At 62.7% G+C, this 13,106-nt stretch overlaps 1 protein-coding gene across 14 annotated transcripts in view, besides 4 other annotated features; it reads left to right on the plus strand.

Annotated features, from left to right (window-relative positions):
• Positions 1,502-2,318: an enhancer, noted in NCBI's record as "H3K27ac-H3K4me1 hESC enhancer chr16:1194132-1194948 (GRCh37/hg19 assembly coordinates)". NCBI's record gives its function as "activates a minimal SCP1, AML or CMV promoter by ChIP-STARR-seq in naive H9 embryonic stem cells {active_cell/tissue: H9 hESC(naive)}" and the evidence as "EXISTENCE:reporter gene assay evidence [ECO:0000049][PMID:30033119]".
• Positions 2,319-3,133: an enhancer, noted in NCBI's record as "H3K27ac-H3K4me1 hESC enhancer chr16:1194949-1195763 (GRCh37/hg19 assembly coordinates)". NCBI's record gives its function as "activates a minimal SCP1, AML or CMV promoter by ChIP-STARR-seq in naive H9 embryonic stem cells {active_cell/tissue: H9 hESC(naive)}" and the evidence as "EXISTENCE:reporter gene assay evidence [ECO:0000049][PMID:30033119]".
• Positions 9,375-9,955: an enhancer, noted in NCBI's record as "H3K27ac-H3K4me1 hESC enhancer chr16:1202005-1202585 (GRCh37/hg19 assembly coordinates)". NCBI's record gives its function as "activates a minimal SCP1, AML or CMV promoter by ChIP-STARR-seq in primed H9 embryonic stem cells {active_cell/tissue: H9 hESC(primed)}" and the evidence as "EXISTENCE:reporter gene assay evidence [ECO:0000049][PMID:30033119]".
• CACNA1H (calcium voltage-gated channel subunit alpha1 H) overlaps positions 10,476-13,106 on the plus strand; it is a 68,663-nt gene continuing 66,032 nt past the window's right edge. For all 14 annotated transcript variants that reach the window (XR_002957850.2, XM_047434836.1, XM_006720963.4 and 11 more), the window contains exons 1-2: positions 10,476-10,840; positions 11,090-11,406. Coding sequence is in view for 13 of the 14 variants with exons in the window: in XM_047434836.1 (XP_047290792.1) it covers positions 11,108-11,406 (299 nt within the window). In the remaining variant the exon portion in view is untranslated. The remainder of the gene's footprint in view (positions 10,841-11,089; positions 11,407-13,106) is intronic.
• Positions 11,330-12,097: an enhancer, noted in NCBI's record as "H3K27ac-H3K4me1 hESC enhancer chr16:1203960-1204727 (GRCh37/hg19 assembly coordinates)". NCBI's record gives its function as "activates a minimal SCP1, AML or CMV promoter by ChIP-STARR-seq in naive H9 embryonic stem cells {active_cell/tissue: H9 hESC(naive)}" and the evidence as "EXISTENCE:reporter gene assay evidence [ECO:0000049][PMID:30033119]".

The raw sequence follows: 13,106 nt of genomic DNA on the forward strand, positions 1-13,106 counted from the left end.
ACAGTGAAACCCCGTCTCTACTAAAAATACAAAAAATTAGCCGGGCATGGTGGCAGGTGCCTGTCGTCCCAGCTACTCGGGAGGCTGAGGCGGGAGAATGGCATGAACCCGGGAGGTGGAGCTTGCAGTGAGCCGAGATCATGCCACTGTACTCCAGCCTTGGCAACACAGCAAGACTCCGTCTTAAAAAAAAAAAAAAAAGAAAGAAAGAAGAAGAAAAGAAAGAAGAGCCCAGGTCGGCCACACTTAATACTTAACCTAAAGGAATGACGTACTAATGGTGGGGCGAGGGGAGTCTTCCCAATGCCAGCACAGCATGGCAGGAGTCCCGCCCTCCAGGCAAGAACGGAACACCCGCTGGCCCTCCAGGGGCCACAAGCTGGTGGCTCCACGGTGGTGTGGGCGTGATTGACTTAGCAAGGAGCATCCTGTGTGTCCCGCAGGCAGCTCTGCAGCCCACGAAGATAGAGACCAGATATACGAGGGGTCCGTGCACCCCAGGCGGCGGCCGGCTCGCTGAGCGAGGGGCCCTGCCAGCTCCACGACAGATGCTCGCCCCCCTCACTGCCACTGCTGCTGCTAGAACACTTAGATCCGCAAAAAGTTGCTGTTTTCTTTTACCTTCACCTCTGACAACAATTAGAAACTGATTTAGGGCCAGATACACCAGCTCGCACCTGTAATCCCAGCACTTTGGGAGGCTTAGGCGGGTGGATCACCTGAGGTTAGGAGTTTGAGACCAGCCTGGCCAACATGGTGAAACCCCATCTCTACTAAAAATACAAAAAAAAAAAAAAAAAAGGTATCTGGGTGTGGTGGCAGTGCTTGTAATCCCAGCGGCTGGGGAGGCTGAGGCAGGAGAATCACTGTGAACCTGGGAGGCGGAGGTTGTAGTGAGCCAAGATCGTGCCACTGCCCTCCAGCCTGGGTGACAGAGCAAGACTTCGTCTCAAAAAAAAGAAAACAAAAGCAAAAAACAAGAAATTAAAAAATGAAGCTGATTTACTAGCGCTAGAGGGAAGGAACAACAGCCTCTGTCCTCCCCTTGCTGTCTGAAGCCCAAAGGGAATGAGGGGGGAAATTATCAGGGCGCTTGATGCAGCCACGCAGCATGGAGGGGTGAACACGCTCGTCATCCTAGCTGGAGCAAGGGCTTGGCAGCTGTGCACATGCGCCAAAGCTCATCGAACTGCACGCTTTACACACGTGCGGCTTGTTGTGTCTCACAACATGGCACTGTTTCAAAGAATGCACGAGAATGGACAGACTCTGTGCAGTGAATCTGCAGGGTGGACTAGTCCTCAGCCCCGAAGAGGAAGTGCTGACCTACACTCCCAGGATGCACCTTGAAGCACCACGTCCAGAGAAAGAGGCCGGCCTTGCACACATCGCAGCCAGGCAGGGAGACAGGAGGCCAAGGCGGTTAGACAGCCAGGCGGGGAGACGGGAGGCCGGCCTTGCACACATCACAGCCAGGCAGGGAGACAGGAGGCCAGCCTTGCACACATCGCAGCCAGGCGGGGAGATGGGAGGCCAGCCTTGCACACATCGTAGCCAGGCGGGCAGACAGCCAGGCAGGGAGACGGGCGGCCCCCATTTCCCTGGGGTAGAGCAAGGCTGGTTTTGGAGGCTTGCAGGCATCCTCCAGGGCCTGGATGAGAGGAATCACCAGAGTCACTTGGGCTCAGACACCCCCACCCAGGATGGCCTGGACCTCATCCCACATGGGTGACGGGGGCCAAGGCCATCAGAGTGTGGCCCAGGCCCCAGCCGGGCCTGGGGTACAGGAAGGGTGACTCACCCAGAGAAGACCCCTGTGCCCTGGAGTCCACTGAGTGAAGCCACACGGCTGGACTGCCTTGCACCTGCCATCGGTCCGCACACCCCATCCTGCGCCAGCCTCCAGGACACAATGGCTTCCAGGAAGCGCCGGGGAGGGGAGAGAAAAGACTCGCAACAATGGCCCCGGCCGGCCTGTTCTGCCCTGTCCCGCCCCAGCCTGCCACGAGACCCTGCCGAGTCCCCTCTGAGGCCGCCACTGGCACCCCAAGTGGCCAAGGCCCCCGGAGACCCTTAAGGGCTGGGAACCCCAAGGCTCCCGAGGCTGGGGCTGCAGAGTCTCGGCCCCACGGCCAGTACCACGGCCCCCACTTCTGGGCCGGAATGGAAGGAACAGGCCTTCTCTTCAAGGCTCCCAGAGTGACCTGTCGTCACCCTCACACCTGAGGTGCTGCTGTGGCCAGCTCTGGCCCAGGTGGCCTCGTTGTCCCTGTGTGTCCTAGCTGTGGGAAGCGGGAGCAGAGAGAAGGTGTCTGTCCTGCCAGCTTCCTGCTGTCCGGTGCCGCCTCCCGGGGAACGAAGGTGCTGATCCGGGGTGCCGGCCATGTGGGGGTGCACAGGCTTGGGCAGGCAGCTGGGCAGGGACAGCCAGAGTGGTGTCTGGCGCTCAGGGCCGGACTACAGCTCTGGTGGGCTGATTGCCTGGCCTGGCAGCACCCTGCTGTCAGCCCTCCCTCCCTGAATGCGGTCAGCTGCCTGCGACATGGCCTGGCCGGCAAGCCCAGGAAGCCGGTATGAAGTGGAATCAGCAGAGCATTAAACAAGGTACAAATGATTTGCAATAAATTATATAAATGCTGTCGGAGCTGTCGGGTCGCGGCCTCCAGAGCCCGTGAGGTCTCCTCGGGCAGCCCGGGGGCACAGGCGTCCGGCACCCCCATGGCCATCCCCGGGGCAGCTACGCGGCCTTTGTGGATGCCAACCTTTGTCACAGCCAGGAGGGGGCCTCCCTCGGGAGGGGCTGTTTAAATATTGGCAGTTGACGACTTAACTCAGTTAACCGTAAAGATGAAAAACCTCCCGGGTGAGTACAAAAGGAGCAGGAGTCAGAGTGCCTGGCTGCACAGCTGGGGCCAAGCCTCTCTCTGCAGCCACTGCGTGCGGGGCCGGCCCCTCCACTGGCCACCTGGGGATCGTAGCTGGCTCCTGTCCAGTTCTCCCAGGTGACGCAAGCTGCGGTGTGGGGGCCGCCCCCCGTGCCTGACCCCGGCCCCTCCGCACAGGCCCCCGCCCCGGGTCTGGCTCAGCTGGTTCCTCAGATGTCCCTGGGCGGCCTGGCACCTTCTCTGAGGAGCCCCCGGGTGAAATTCCCCCAAAAACACACACTCTAGGCCCACGCGTGGTCATCTGTGGTTCCAAGGGCCTCGCCTGGCCGAGCCGAGAGCTGGGGCACCCGGCACCTGAGGGTTGGAGGGGTGACGGACCCGGGGCTGCCTGCAGACCCACGTTTCAGGGGCTCCTCTTGTGTGGATCTCCTTGGAGCTCCCGGGGCTGGGCCTGGGCTGGGGTAGGGCGAGGTGGGGGTGTTGAGGGTGGTCTGGTGGCCAGACCTGGGATCTGGGGGACCTGCTGCATTACCTCTTGAGGACTCCCTAAGAAAGGACCCCGTGACTCTGCACCAGCTCAGCCCTTCCTGCAAGCAGAGGGGCTGTGCAGAGCTGGGGGCTGGTGAGGGAACCAAGCAGGGGAGAGGGGCACCCATGTCTGCTTTGCGCCTTCCACGGCCCCTTGAAGTCTGTCTGGAAGCACCCGGCCTGGGCTCACCCCATCCTGTCACTTTCCCTCCCAGGTCAACCCCTCCTCCTTCCCACTCCACAGTGATCCGGGGGATTCAGCAGCTCAGGCAGAGTTGGGTGCTGCCAGGCACGTGCCCTCTGCCCACCCCCACACACCCCAGACTCAGCTCCCTGCCCCCCATGCCCTCGGAGGAGGCTTCCCTGACACATTTGGGTCCAGGAGACTGAACCAGACGTGTCCACCCCGGCCTCAAGGCCTTGGCCCAGGCCAGAGGCAGCCCCACCCCTAGGGCCTCCGAGATCCTGCGGACCCCAAGGGACAGGCTGAAGGCTCTGCTCCCCCAGCCCAGCTCCATCCTGGGTTCTGTCTCCTCCCATGAGGCCACGCCCTCTGGCTCCGCCCCCACAGGGAGCTGTTAAAAATGGCCTCCCTCTTTCTGAGCCTTTGTCACGTGCGGGCTCCCATCCTTCATGACTGCTTTCACAGCCTGAGGCGGAGCTCACACACGGACGGACGGCTCACCCACTTATGGGTGAGTTTTCAGTGCACCCAGCGGTGCAGCCGTCTCTGCAGGTCTCGCTCTGTCGCCCAGGCTGGAGTGCAGTGGCACAATCTCCACTCACTGCAGCCTCGACCCCTCAGAGTCAAGTGATCCTCCTACCTCAGCCTCTCGAGTAGCTGAGATCACAGGCACCACCACCACACCTGGCTAATTTTATTTCATTTTTTTTTTTTTTTTTTTTGTAGAGACGGGGTTGGGTCTCAGTATGTTGCCCAGGCTGGTCTCAAATTCTTGGGCTCAAATGATCTTCCTGCCTGGCCCCCATAAAAGCTTGGATTGCAGCTTTTATGGTGGTGTCAACTGTCACCGCCCTAAAATAAACCCCTTTCTGTGTTAGTCTGTTTCGTGTTGTTGTAAAGGAATGCTTGGGACTGGGTGATCTCTAAAGAAAAGAAGTTGATTTGGCTCACGGTCCTACAGGCTGTATAGGAAGTACAGCGCAGGTATCTGCTTCTGGGGAGGCCTCAGGAAGCTTCCAATCATGGCAGAAAGGAAGGAGAACCCAAAAGTCACATGGAGGGAGAGGGTGCCAGGGAGAGGAGGAGGTGCCAGCTGCTGTGTGAACTACTGGAGCAAGAAAGCACTCATCATCACTGGACAGCAGCAAGCCACTCCTGAGGAATCCGCCCCTGGTGCAGACACCTCCCACCAGGCCCACTTCCAACCCTGGAAGTCACGTTTCAACATGAGATTTGGAGGGGGGGCCACACATCCAAACCAAACAAACCCTCTGCTTGCTAGACGTCTCCCCTCCCCCACCCCCCCTCCCCCAGCCCTTGGCAGCCACCCCTCTTTGTTCTATGGATTTACCTGTGCTGAAAATCTCATCTAATGATCCTATGATGTTTGTCATTTTGTGTCTGGCTTATTTCACTTGGTGTGATGTCTTCAATGTTCATCCACGTGTGTCAGAATGTCATTTTTTTTGAGACAGAATGTTGCTCTGTTGCCCAGGCTGGAGCGCAACGGCGTGATCTCTACTCACTGCAAGCCCCACCTCCCGGGTTCAAGCGATTCTCCTGCCTCAACCTTCTGAGTAGCTGGGACTACAGGCGCCCACCACCATGCCCGGCTAATTTTTGTATTTTTAGTAGAGACAGAGTTTCTCCGTGTTGATCATGTTGATCAGGCCGGTCTCAAACTCCCAACCTCCTGATCTGCCTGCCTCAGCCTCCCAAAGTGCTGGGATTACAGGTGTGAGCCACCGCGCCCGGCTGTGTCATTCCTTTTCATGGCTGAATAATATTCCACCATATGAAGAGGCCACATTTTATCTGCTTATCTGTGGGATACTTGGGATGTCTACACCTTTGGCTTTTGTGAACGATGCTGCTGTGGACACCCGAGTCCACAGTTCTGTGTGGACACACATTTTCATTCCTCTTGGGCACACCCGGAACAGAAATTGCCAGGTTGCATGGTAATTCCATATTTAATCATTTGAGGAACTGCCTGTTCATGATCACTTTTTATTTGATGAAGCATTGATTTTCCAGAGAAGGAAATTTAAGGCTCAGAGAGGGTAAGACACATGTCCAAGGCCACACAGCCAGGAAGTGGTGGAGCTGGCATTTGAACCCAGGCCGTGCGTCTGCAGAGCCAGAGAAAGGCCCGGAGCTTCCCTCCCCAGGTCCCCAGGCGGCCTGCGGGCCCCTCCACAGCCCAGTGATCCTTCAAGCACTCCCAAGCCCAGCCTCCGCCTGCAGCCCCTCCACAGCCTGTCCAGGGCAGGGAAGGGCCACCTCACAGGCCACGGCCTCTTCCGCGCAGTGCCTGGGGGCCGGTCTTGGGGACAGTGGCGTGGTGCCCCTGCCTCTCCCGTCTTCCACACAGACAACTGCGAAGGTGAGAAGGGTGAGCGGCGTCTAGACGGCGCTGTCCACCCAGCGGCAATAAAATCGGATGTTTCCGCACACAGCACCGTCACAGGCTATCACCGTTTAACACGGCAACTCTTAAAATCATTGCTGCTGCGTCTAAACCGTCCTGAGCTCACAGCTGAGCCCAGGAAAGGGCTTGGGGTGCGCGCCAGCCGGCAGCCACCAGGCTCCCCATCCCACAGTGTGGGGTCATGCTTCCCGCCCAGCACGGTCTCGAGGGTGGTGGATCCCAAAATTCCTTGGGATGCCAGCGCAGTCCCTTCAGCCACCCAGTCAGCAGGTATTTATTGGCACCTACTGGATGCTAGGCAGGAGCAAAGGACACTCACCTGCTCCCCACTCCAGGGTCTCGTGTCTCTGACTCCATGGCAGGACAAAGGTGAGAGCCCGCCATGCTTCGGGGCGACCTACCGGGCTCCGTCCTGCCCTTGAGTCTGCGGCTCAATGGGGCCCCACCGAGGCTGCTCCCAGGGAAGAAGCATTCTGGCCAGGCAGGGCCCGAGCCTGTGTCAGTGAGAGGCCCTGTTGCCTGCCCTGGAGGCCGATCCCTGCAGGGGCCAGTCTAGGCAGGGACGCCCCTCTTGTCTGCATATTCCCGGGGCCTGGCTTCCTGGCCGCGTGGGCAGCCTCCTTGGTGGCGGTGACCTGGGTCCCCGGCTCACAGGCCACACGTAGCAGCAGAACCCAGAGCTGGCTGGGAGAAGGGGTCTCACTGGACACCAGGCAGTGACCGCCACGGCTGGCTCTCCAGGCTTTGCCAGGAGAGGACTCTGTCCACCAGCCCTTGGTCCAGATTCTGGCAGACCAGCCACGGGCCCCACTGCTACAGGGAGCTGAGGACCAGTCAGGGCGTGCCTGTCCCATCGCTGCCATGCCGGGCCCCACTGCCGACGTCCTCCTTCCCCTGGGCAGCGTGGGGGATGCTGAAATCCGTGGGAGACCCCGAGAAGCCCACCCCACCTTCTTGGGTTCCGCCACATGATGGCTGAGCTAGGAGGTCACTTGTACTCTCTCCCCGCAGCTCTTTGTCAAAGAAAAGCATTGCCCTTAAAAACAACCCCGGCCAAAAAAAGAAAAAAGGAAACAGCGAAAACCAGAAGCAAATTTTCCAGAGACCTGGAGGATTAGAAACAATACATCTGAACGTTCTGGAGTTGAATTAAACCATCTCAATGCCGGTTTCCAACCGTCCTGGGCTTCTCTCTGACGCTCAGCGAAGGGCGCGCATCACGGCATCACCGCTCTCAGGACGATTTCCCGTCTCGTCTCACTGGACCGTCTGCCGTTTATGTCCTTTCTCGGTGGAGGCCCTCACGTCGCGTTGAGGTGGTCCCCGCTCCGGCTGCGTGAACGCGGCCTCAGCTGCCTCATCTTCCGGCAGATGGATGTTCAGAGCAGGGAGCATCCATGTTCCAGGCGTGCGGGCACCTGTCCCGCCGGACGTGGAGCGTGCAAGTCAGTGGGCAGCAGCCCAGGGGACACAGAGCCCCCAAGGACAAGGTGGGCACGCCATCCGATGGGCTGGAGTGAACGGAAAGCGGTGGGAGGCAGCCTCCGTCCCAGACCTTGAGCTGGAAAATGCCCGCCCGGGTGCTGGAGAGGCTCCAACTGGTCTGCAAATTGTCCGTGGGATGCCTGGCGACTGCACGCTTTCTCAGATTACAGACACTTTCTTTAAAAAAAATCTGTGGGCCGGGCGCGGTGACTTACGCCTGTAATCCCCATACTTTCAGAGTCTGAGGCAGGCGGATCACGAGGTCAGGAGTTCAAGACCAGCCTGGCCAACATGGCAAAACCCCGTCTCTTCTAAAAATATGAAAATTAGCTGGGCATGGTAATTACATGCCTGTAATCCCAGCTACACGGGAGGCTGAGGCAGGAGAATCGCTTGAACTGACACCAGGAGGCGGAGTTTGCAGTGAGCCGAGATCACGCCACTACACTCCAGCCTGTGATACAGAGCGAAACTATGTCTCAAAAAAAAAAAAAAAAAAAAGTCTGTTATAGAAGTCCGTGGTCTTTTTCCCTTCTGCCGACATCTGGAGGACAGAGTGTGGCCGGGAGGGCAACAGCTGCTGTGTTCAGAATTCCAAGATGCTTCCCAGGCGCCCTCTGGGTCTTCCCGCTCCCCGGCTCCCTCCGGCCTGCCACAGGGCCTTTGCATGGGCTGCCGTTGCTGCTGGAAAGAGCCTCTGCTCCTCTTCCGGCTGCCGGCTTGTCCTCACAGAGGCCCCGCCCTCGTCTATCTGGGCGCCCCCTGGCACTTAGTTTGGAAACTGTTTTCTCCTCCCCATAAGACGGAAGCTGCAGGCATGAGAACCGGGTCTGTCTGGTCACAGCCAAGGCACCTCCACCCTCCAACCGGGCCCCGCGCACTGTCCACCCTCAACTACCATTTGTCCAGCAAATCAACGACAGCCCCCAGCTAGAATCTGGAGCTTCAGTCTGTGGCTTTGCCTTAGCTTTAATTAATTAATTAATTAACTTATTATTTTTTTGAGGCAGAGTCCACTCTGTCACCCAGGCTGGAGTGCAGTGGCGTGATCTCGGCTCACTGCAACCTCTGCCTCCTGGGTTCAAGTGATTCTCCTCCCTCAGCATCCCGAGTAGCGGGGATTACAGGCATATGTCACCATGCCTGGCTAATTTTTGTATTTTAGTAGAGACGGGATTTCACCATGTTGGTCAGGCTGGTCTCGAACTCCTGACCTCAAGTGATCCACACACCTCGGCCTCCCAAAGTGCTGGGATTACAGGCGTGAGCCACTGCACCTGGCCCACCCTAACTTTTAACGAGCAGGGTGTTGATAAAAAGATCAGAGGTTCCAAGTGCCCTCTGGACCGGACTCCGATTCAGCGTTTGTGTCTCCCCACCTGCTCCAGCCTCCCTCCACGGATGTGTCCAAAGCACGGGGCTCTCCTAGGTCCTGCTCCTCTGTGGCTGGAACCTTAATTGGACCTTTGAAGGCCTAATTCACCAGCTGTGGCCCTCCATCGCTGAGTAGTTGCATTAAAATAGACTGAATGTTTTCCTTTTCTTGAAAGTTCCCGTATACAGGAGGAGGTGCTGCTGAAAGGACCTGTACCCCAGCCAGGCCCCCACACTCCTGCCTTCCAGTTCCTCGGCCCACCCCAGGTGCTGTGTGTCCTTCCGGGCCCCAGCTGGGCAGGGCCTCTTCTTCACCCTGCACGATGTGGCCCACCCGGGGGAGGTCCTGCTTCTCTGCTGCTCACCCGCAGGTGGGAAGCCACAGCCGCCCCACAGCCTCTCCGGGTCTGGGGTCTCAGGGTGCGCCCTGGAGCAGGGCCTCTTTGTCTGGAGGGAGAAGGGGTCTCTCCCACTACCAGGGGCCCCTTGTTGGCGGGCGTGCTGAGGTGCACACCTGGGAGCTCAAGCTCCCTGGTGCACAAAGCAGTGGTCCCAGAAGCAAAACCACCCTTCCAGCCTGGAGGGGTGCCCTGGGGGGAGTCAGGAGCCTGGGCACCTGCCCCCACCTGCTGGCACCTCGAGGTGCGGCCAGCCCTCCCTGGGACAAGGGCCTGGCCATCCCCAATGTCTGAAGGGTCCACCCCTTCCCGACCAAACCACTTGCTCTGAGGGTCCAGGGGAAGGCCCTTCTGCTGGCCTGGCTGAAGGAGCAGCTGCTGGCAGGGGGAAGGGGCCTGCACTTCTCCTCGGGGGCCCCTGGGTGAGTCTCGCTGAGGCAGCGGGGTTGGAGGATGCAGGAGCACCAGGCTGCCGTCCCCAGGGTCCCCCAGATCCCCACGCGGGAGGGGACCGGAGACGAGGACAAGTTCGCGGAAACTGCCCGTGCGTGTCGGGGAGAGATGCGAGTGCAGGAGCGCCCAGCCGTAAAGCACACCCCCGCCCGCCCCCGCGCCCCATCACACACGCGCGCGCGGGCACACCCGGGACACACACGCGGCGGGGAAGGGGCACGCAGCCTCTCGCCTTCCACGCCCGCCCGGTCCCCGCCCCTCCGCCGACCCGGGCCCGCGTCGTAGTGGGGGTGGGGGTGGGGGCGGCGGCGGCGCGCGCGGCAGCGCGAAGGGGGAGGGGGAGCCGGAGCGGGAGGGGGAGGGGCGCGGCATCGGCGGCTCGGCCGCCCCCGCAGTTGGGGGCAGGGAAGGACGTAGGTGCTCCCCCTCCCACCCCGCCGGAGCCTCCCGCGAGCGCCCCCTGGTGCACCCCACGCCCGGCATTGTTGGGGAGCACGAAAAGCGGGGAGCCCAGTGCGGGGGCGTGGAGGGGGCGCGGGCGGGGTCCAACTTCCCGCACCCGGGGGGGGGCGGGGCGCCGGGCGGCGACAGGGAGGGGTCGCTCGGGCGCGCGCGTCTCGGGCCGGGGGCGGATCCTCCCCAGTACCCCCCCGCCCGCCCCGCCCCCGGCCCCGCCCCGGCCACGCTGGCCCCGCCCCGGTCGCGCCGGCCCCGCCCCGCCCCGCCCCCCGCCGCTCAGCCCGAAGTTTCCTGCGCCGCGCGCGGACGGGCTCGAGGCTCGCTCGCTGCCTCACCGGTCCCCGGCCCGCGCCCCGCGCCCCGCGCCCCGCGCCCCGGCCTCACCCGTCCGCTCAGCGGCCTCCACGCCGCGCCGAGGCCGCCGCCGTCGCCTCCGCCGGGCGAGCCGGAGCCGGAGTCGAGCCGCGGCCGGGAGCCGGGCGGGCTGGGGACGCGGGCCGGGGGCGGAGGCGCTGGGGGCCGGGGCCGGGGCCGGGGGCGGAGGCGCTGGGGGCCGGGGCCGGGGCCGGGCGCCGAGCGGGGTCCGCGGTGACCGCGCCGCCCGGGCGATGCCCGCGGGGACGCCGCCGGCCAGCAGAGCGAGGTGAGACGCGGCGAGGACGCGCGCCCGGGACCCTCTTCAACTTGCGCGAAGCGGGCCGGGGAGCCCCTCGGGGTGGGGGTGGGGCCGCTGGAGGGAGGGAGGGGGCGGGCGGGGGCGGGGGGCGCGTTTGTCTCTAATAAGAAAAGACAAAGACATCCCGGCGGCCGCGGCTGTTCCCGCAGCTCCGCGCCGCGGGAGGCAGGGCGGGGGCGTCGCCACCGGCCCCGGGTCACCCCCTGTCCTCTGCAGGTGCTGCCGGCCGCCACCATGACCGAGGGCGCACGGGCCGCCGACGAGGTCCGGGTGCCCCTGGGCGCGCCGCCCCCTGGCCCTGCGGCGTTGGTGGGGGCGTCCCCGGAGAGCCCCGGGGCGCCGGGACGCGAGGCGGAGCGGGGGTCCGAGCTCGGCGTGTCACCCTCCGAGAGCCCGGCGGCCGAGCGCGGCGCGGAGCTGGGTGCCGACGAGGAGCAGCGCGTCCCGTACCCGGCCTTGGCGGCCACGGTCTTCTTCTGCCTCGGTCAGACCACGCGGCCGCGCAGCTGGTGCCTCCGGCTGGTCTGCAACCCATATCCTTCCCGGCCGGCGGGGGGCGGGGGGCGGGGGGCGTGGGGAGGGTGGGGGCCCGGGGCGCGGGACTCCCTCGGCATGCGCCCCCGCGCGCCCCTGTTGGTGGGACCTGGCGTGGGCCGGGCGCGCGGGGGTGCAGGGCAGGGGCTGGAGGACCGCGCTCTAATTTCTGAGAGTGGCGGGCTTGGGGGGCCACCGGGCGCCTCCGGACTCCCTTCCCCAGGGCCGGCTCCGGACGGAGAAGGTGGAAGCGAAGCGGTGAGGCCCCCGCGGGCTTGGAGGGGAGAGGAGTCGGGGAGGGAGGGAAGGTCCTAACTCCTCGCGGCCCCAAGGGTGTTGGCCAGGACGGGAATTTCCCCCTTGCCCACCCCTCACTGTCTGAAGGTCCTGCCCGAGGCAGGCCCCTCGCGGGGGAGGGGGAGGCCAGAGGAGCTGGAGTCAGGGGCGCAAAGTTTTCAGCCGGCGCCTGGTGGTTCCGAGTGCGTGGGGAGACCCGTGGGGCCTGTGAGCGCCGCCAGGGCCTTTTCCGTGGAGAGAGGCGGTGACGTTGGTTGTGAACTCGCTTTTTCTGGCTGAACTCGGTGGCGGGGCTGACTTAAGTCATGCGCAGCTGAAGGGTAGGGGGCAGGGAGGCAATTGGCACTGCCAAGGGGGAGTCTCATCTCCCCAGCCCCTTCCCTGGCTGGAGAGGAAGAGGCAGCCTCTTCTACTCTCGGCCAGAGCGGCACAGACTGCAGAGAAGGTTCCAGAACAGAGTTGGGTCAGGGCCAGGGGCATTTGTGGGATGTACACGGAGGTCCAGGGGGCCCCCCAGCAGGTGGCCTTGGGGGCGGGTCTCCGCGTGCCCTGAGAAGGGCCTTGCGTGGTGCCTGTGTCAGGGCCGGGTCTCCCCACCGGCCCTTCTGAGCCGGCAGCTGGGGTGGCCAGGCCGTGGCTTCTGCTCCGGGCCTGGGGACGGGTGGAGAGACCCTGCCCGCAGACGTCCCCCGTCGGAGGTGGGGAGACAGGCTGGCAGCAGGAGCGGCCTGTGTACACTTCCCTACCTTGTGTGTTTAACTGTACAAATATTAAACACGAAAGAGGAATCTGTACAAAAAAAGTCATAAAGCCCGTGTTTCTCCTTTCTCAAATCCAAACATCGAGTGAGTCAGACTCATCTCTGCTTGTAGAGGAAGAGGAGGCTGCTGTGGTCCCGGGGGCAGCCGGCCCCGGCCAGAGGGCTGCCTCGGAGCCCCACACCCGCTGCCCGGGCGGCCTAGGCCTCTGTAGCCTCAGGGTGGTGTCTGCGAGTAGGTGGGTGTCCCCGGGAGCCGAGGTGCAGGCCCGGCCTTGAAGAGCGGTTGTAGGTTTGTCTCCTCTCTAGAACCAAGGCGGGAGGTGGTCATGCCCCTTTGTTCTGGTAGGAGGTGACTGGGTGTGGGGTTAGTCCGGCGGTGCCAGCAGGCCATGGGGAAGGGTCTGGAAGGGACTGCATGGGTTGGAATGGGAGGCTGGCCCCGAGCCAAGGCCTGCGTTCCTTGTTTCCCAACGTGTGCAGACCGGAGAAGGGAAAGAGTTGAGCAAGCCTGGACTCTCTCCTCACAGCCCCGGGCCTGGCTGCCCCATCCCCAAGCAGGGCATGGACTCTCTTCACAGCCCCGGGCCTGGCTGTCCTGTCCCCTCTCGGCTGAGAGAGTTTTGGAGCCTGGCCCCGGTGTTC

Source organism: Homo sapiens, chromosome 16 (genome assembly GCF_000001405.40).
Source record: "Homo sapiens chromosome 16, GRCh38.p14 Primary Assembly".
Classification (NCBI taxonomy): domain Eukaryota; kingdom Metazoa; phylum Chordata; class Mammalia; order Primates; family Hominidae; genus Homo; species Homo sapiens.